Source organism: Homo sapiens, chromosome X (genome assembly GCF_000001405.40).
Source record: "Homo sapiens chromosome X, GRCh38.p14 Primary Assembly".
NCBI classification, from domain to species: Eukaryota; Metazoa; Chordata; class Mammalia; order Primates; family Hominidae; genus Homo; species Homo sapiens.
The window spans coordinates 138,055,676-138,061,946 of NC_000023.11; the positions used below are offsets into that span (position 1 = coordinate 138,055,676).

The 6,271-nt window shown below is 38.6% G+C and overlaps 1 annotated feature.

Annotated features, from left to right (window-relative positions):
• Nucleotides 5,479-5,980: an enhancer, noted in NCBI's record as "NANOG hESC enhancer chrX:137143313-137143814 (GRCh37/hg19 assembly coordinates)". NCBI's record gives its function as "activates a minimal SCP1, AML or CMV promoter by ChIP-STARR-seq in primed H9 embryonic stem cells {active_cell/tissue: H9 hESC(primed)}" and the evidence as "EXISTENCE:reporter gene assay evidence [ECO:0000049][PMID:30033119]".

Here is a 6,271-nt window from a genome sequence, read left to right on the forward strand (position 1 = left end):
AATTGAGGTGAATGGCAGCCTCTCAGAAGTAACTTGCTAGATTTCAGTGGGTATGAGTAGGATGCCACATGCATGGCATTTCAGCCAAACAGCGAATAGGTGGCAGTCTTCATCAATTTATCAAAGGGAATAACATTTTCTCTTTGAAAATAAAACAGTGACAATATAGGAAAAAAAAACATGTAGATAGCTGAATATTATAGAAGACATTTTGATTAATTTTGATATGATTCAGGATTGAAACATAGTACTATAGTGAGATTTCATTTGTGTTTTAATGAGTTTTTTCCCTTTTCTGAGTTATTTTAAAAATTAGAATCAAATTTATTCTTGAACTTCCAAGAAGTTGTGCTTAAAACCGTAGGATAGTGGTGAGCCATTGGTAGAAGAACTGTGTGCTTGACCCTGCAGGGTAACTTCACCCTGGCTTCACAATAGGGCAGAGTGGCAAAGGAGAGGAAGCCTGGCCAATCATGTGTAATTCACTCAATAAATATAAGTGCCTGCCACGGCCAGGCATTGAACCGGGTATGTGGGATGCATAGGAGAATCAGGCGCAGTAACTTTCATCAGGAAGTTTACAATATTATGTGAGAAAGTGGCATTGATTAAGCTAGCAGCTGCCGTACATGTATTATTTCATTTAATCTTCACAGCAATCCTGTGGGTAGATGTTATGATTGTCCCATTTTTCAAATTAGAACACTGAGGTTAAAAGAGGTTAAGTGACTTGTCTAAGCTCACACAGCTAGCCAGTGACATCCATACACTTATATAAATAATAGGATGTACTAGTGTAAGTGTTTTCTTAGTAATATTACAATGTGCTTCAGATCAAATGGGAAAGTAATCCCTTTCCTCAGGTGTTATTAGGCAAGTGCTTCATGGAGGACGAAGTATTTCAGCTGTGTTTTCCTGAGCAAAGAACAGATTTAGCACAACCATGGAGGCACTAAGTTTCAAGGAATGGAGATTAGCAAGTGGACTCATTTGATTCCAGCATCACAATCATGTAAATTGGGGGAAGGAGAGACTCAAAAGAAAATTAGGTTAGGGCCTGAGTTGGATGGGCATTGAATGCCATAGTGAGAATTTTTTTATGTACATTTTGAAGAAAGCTATTGTCACTCTGAGCAGTGTAGTAACATGAGTGAACCTATGCTTTAGGAATCATATAGGATGAATCCGAAAGAGAAGACAACATAGATAGGAATGACAACCTGTTAAGAGGACATTGCTATAGTTCAAACAAGAGGACTGGAAGTAGGGTATTAGGGAAGACAATGTATTACATGCATGAAAAAAATATAAATAGTCTGCATGACATGTGCACTGAAATGAGTGCAAATGAGAGTTGTTCTGATTGATGGGCATTATAAAGCAGAGAGCAGCTTAGTAAATAGAAATTGCCTTATAACAGAGTACCATTATCAGTGATCTATAAGACTCAAGTCCAAAATACTATTTTAAATTGAATCCTATTCTCTGCAACAGCATTTCCAATGTGGATTCATCCCACATACTCTTCCAAAAACAAATAATTTTTTTCCATATGTTTCAGTAATTACATTTCTGGTTATATATCTAAAGGAAATAAAGTCAGTGTATTGAAGAGATATTTACACTGCCATGTTCATTACAGCACTATTCACAATAGCCAGTTATGGACTCAACCTAAGTGCTCATCAGCAGATGATTGGATAAAGAAAATGTGGCATATATACACAATGGAATACTATTCAACCTTTTTTTAAAAAAGTGAAATCCTATCATTTGCAGCAACATGGATGGAACTGGAGGTCATTATGTTAAGTGAAATAAGTCAGGCACAGAAAGACTAATATTGCATGATTTTACGTATATGTGGAATATGAAAAAGTAGAACTCATAGAAGCAGAGAGTAAAATGGTGGTTACTAGGGGCTGGTATGGAGGGAGGAGGATGGGGAGATGTTGAAACAAAGTTTCAGTTACATGGGAGGAATAAGTTCTGGACATCTATTGGATAGCATAGTGATGAGGTAATAATATATATTTGAAAATTGCTAAGTGAGTATATACATATACACACTTTATATATACTTCTTTATATATATATATATATATATATATATATATATATATATGTACTTTTTATATATACAGAGAAAAAAAACAGAAAAAGAAGAGGTTTCTCTACGTTTACCGAGAATTCCTGCAGCAAAGATACTAGTTGAATCTTGTTAGCTAATCATTTCCTAAACTTATTTAAACCTAGAACTCTTTTTAAAATGTTGAAACCTAGTAAGACCTGCAAAGATTGTGTTTTGTGAAATTCATATTAATGTTATTCTCTTCATCTGCAATGCATTCCCTCTGGTGGACTCTAGAGTGCAGTCCCTTCTCTCAAACGCAGTTGAAATAAAATGGAATCCCAATGTTTGGTGGACACCTGCCAGCAGTGACCTCTGCTGCAGCAAGTATTGATCCTGTTGTCGACAGCTGGTGTCAAATAATTTTTTTTTAAAGCAGGGATGATGGTGATGTTGCAAGGGTAGCTGTCGGTCACCAGCCCAAGAGCTCAGCTCACTGAAGTTGTCCCTTTCTCCTTAAAGTTGTTTTCATCAGTTTGTTGTTCATCTGAATAAACTTTTATGGCTTTCTCTTTGTTCTCCTGACCCTAGTAGCCTTAGTGATGGTGGAAAAGTTGTGTCTTACTAATTTTGAAGTGTCTACGTCTAGTAATAAAACCCAAGCTATCTAGTTAACTCCATCATCCCCTTGCTCAAGATCTCCCCCAGATACCCATCACCTACAGAAACAAAGATCCAAATTATTTGTGTGGGCATCATGACTCTCCATGCTCTGACCCCAGCACACATGCACACATGTTTGCATGAGAACACAGACACACAAATCACTGCTTATTATTTTCCAATAAGAAGGCCTGCTCTTTATTGCTTCCTATGGTTACTCTACTCTCTGTAATTGAAGGGCCCTTTCTCTTCAATGTCAAAAATCTCAATTAGCTGCAAAGGTACACATCAAGTGCTTTCTTCTCCTAGTAGCTCTCCTAGACACCTTAGACACCTCCAGTTGGAATGACTCCCGATTGCTGTCTTTTACTTTTTACTTACCTTTAATCAGTTTATTCTGGGTGCAAACTAGCTTCGTATGAGTCAATATTCCCCACTGGATGCCAGTGTCTTAAAGGTAGAGAATGTTTTACTAACCTCAGTAACCTCTCTAATCAATCAATCCATCAACAAATATTTAAGCGCCTACTCTGAGCCACGCACAACATCCTACACCCAGTAGGGGCTCCTATTGATGTCTGTATACTTTCAAAGCACAACCCCTAGAAGTGGAAGTGGGTTCTCTGAATCAAAACCTCAGGAAGTGATTAATGTCACCAGCATTAACATGATGAATAGGACCACAGGCTAAGTGTTGTTGAGACCACCCTAGATGTGACTTTGTCGTGAGAAGCCTTGGATTTCCAGGGAGGCATCCGAGACAAGCCAGTGATTCTGCAGACATGCTGTCAATTCCAAGTGAACCAAAGAGAGAGGGGCCATTTGTAATTAATTTTGGAAGTTTCTGGCAAAAGTCAGCAAAGATAAGTTCCCAACGGGAAAGCCCCTGTCTTATTTCTGTACTTACTTGCATTGGTATCATTACACTACACCATCTCTGAAAAATCAGACCTCTTGGATTTGGCCCTTTTTCTCTTCATCTGTAGAATATCTGACCCCAATTCAATAATTATAACCACCCCAGTGGAACAGATGCTGTACACACCATATCTCAATGAACTGTCATAACAACCCTAAGACATTATTATAAATACAATATTCATTTTGATAAACTAGGAAATTGTAGTTCAGAGACCAGAAGTGCTCTGACACTTTCATCAAGGAAAAGCAAACATATTAAAGAGCCAGTCACTTTGTGTTTGAATTCTGTGGATCTTTTCACTCTCAGCTGGTTGTTATTAATAATATGTGGCATATATGAATGCATGCTATATTCCAAACATTCTAATAAGTATTATTTTATTGAATCCTACAAATAATCCTTTGGGGTTTCTTGAATTTAAAGAAAAATTAGGCCCAGAGAAGGTAAACAGCTGGTCCATGCTCACAAAAGAGGTAAAGCAGGGCCAAGATACAGATTCAAGTCTGTTGGACTCCAGACCTGCCACCCATTCACTATACTACATAACCTCCTCTTGTAATGCAGTGGGCAGTCTAGGAGCTGCTGGCTGAAGGGATTGTATATCCTTAGTGGACTCTCAGGTCTTCTAAACAGAAATGTTCCACATTAGTGACTCAGTCTCAAACTTTACTTATGCTCCTCCAAGCCCTCCCCATTTTCCCTTTGGACAGGTTGACCCCTCTTTTAACCTCATCTTCAGGGTCAGTCTGTGCTTTCTTGCCATGGTTCAGTCCAGAGGCAGAATAATTTCTTTTAGCATCGTTAGTGTCTAGGAAAACAAATCTCTTTCTCAGGTTTCTCATCAGTTTCCTGGAACAGAATGACTGTGCTGTCCACAGACTGAATTTGTCTCATCTTCTCTGGGCACATAGCTTTGTGCTCAGCTTTCTTTAGCTGCTACTAATGGTAACAGTTCTTTAAGACAGGGCAGTCTTTCTGCCTTAGATGATTTCTAAACCTCAAGTTTTTTCTTAGCTCATATCCCTGTTTCCTTTATCTTTTTGGCTTTGTCTCTTTTGTCTAGTAAATATTAACAGGTTCTATTTAATATTTAGGAGGTGTGCATTTGGGCCCCAGATCAACCTCTGACTTGGTTTTTGACCTTGGGCAAGTTACTTCCTCTTTTAGGCCTCAGTGTCTTTATATGTAAAAGGTGAGAGTGGGAAGATGCCCAAGGCTCCTTGCACCTCTGACATTCTGTGTCTCAAACTTCAATGTCAAAGGACAATACTGTATGAAGACAGTCTGAAAATGTTTCCCATCTTCATTCGACTGCCTAGAAAGGTGATTTGGCTACAGAGATGTAAACTCATCTACTGACCTTCTACTTATCTCTACCCAAGTTTACGAATATGTACCACAAAGGGAGAAAATAATTATCTCAGTTTAAAGTATTTATGACCCAATTTTTTTGGATTGCCCAAAGTTTAAACAGTGTGCTCATTGAAAACCTCAGTCCCACCTCTGACAAAGTGAATGCAGAAACCACTTTTTCAAATCCCAAATCAACACACAAGTATGAGTGGGCAGAACACTTGAAAAGAGGATTCTTCTAAAATTTCCAGGATTCATGATCTTCCCTCAGTAAATGATAGAATTTTAGAATTTTCATGGTAGGGTATAAACTGGGCAACCAGGCCCAAGGCCAGATAAGAGCTTAATTAAATGAATGCTGCTGCAGCTGCCGCTTGTCACCTTCTGTCACCCCAAAGGAAGTATGTACCTTTGGGTTGGTCTAGTGGGAGAATTAGGAGGGAATGATAGTCTTTTCATTCCATCTACATTTAGCATACCCACCAAAGGGCAAGTTAGCAACTTCAAACAACACCTTGACAATGACAAACAGTGAAGTTAATGCAGGCTCTAACAACTCCAGAGCATACTCTGACTAAAACAAAGGGCTCTGGCTCAAAAGGGGGTCCTCCAAGCCAAATGAAAGAGCAGTTTCCAAATGCATAGCAAAATTCAGAGGAAGAAGGAGAGATGAAGGGTGGAAGATGAGGCTGTTTACTTAGAATTTGATTGTTCACACTAAGCCCAGCAACCCCTGTGGTCTTGAGCTTGCTTTGAAAACACGATGTTGCTAAAAAGATCAGGATTCGATGGGAACATTCACACTTGAACATTTGCCGAGCTCTTCAGGGAAGTGCTGAAATCAGTGGGAGGGTCTTCAGCACCTCTGTGATTGCAATCATGGCCAAGCTCAGGCGCTGCAGTTGTGCAGCACAAAATACTGCCCAAGACAAATCTTTCAAAACAAAGTGCAGCTAAAACATCTCTCTTTCTTTAGGGTTAAGTTAAGACTAAAACATTTCAAGCTCAAGGACTTAAACTTGTTTTGGCCAGGCATAAGGAACCCAAAGTTATTCAGGCCCATGATATCATATCAAGTTCATAGTTTACAGAGAAATCCAAGTGGTGGTGGAAAGGATTTAAATTTAGTTGTTTACTAAATTCTACATGAACAGTGTTTGACCAAGTTTCTTATATAGAAAGACCTGATGTTTACCCTGAAAAGGTGGTTAGAAACAAATAATAACAACAAAAAGTCTGCTTTCACATCTTAGTGTTTTTAA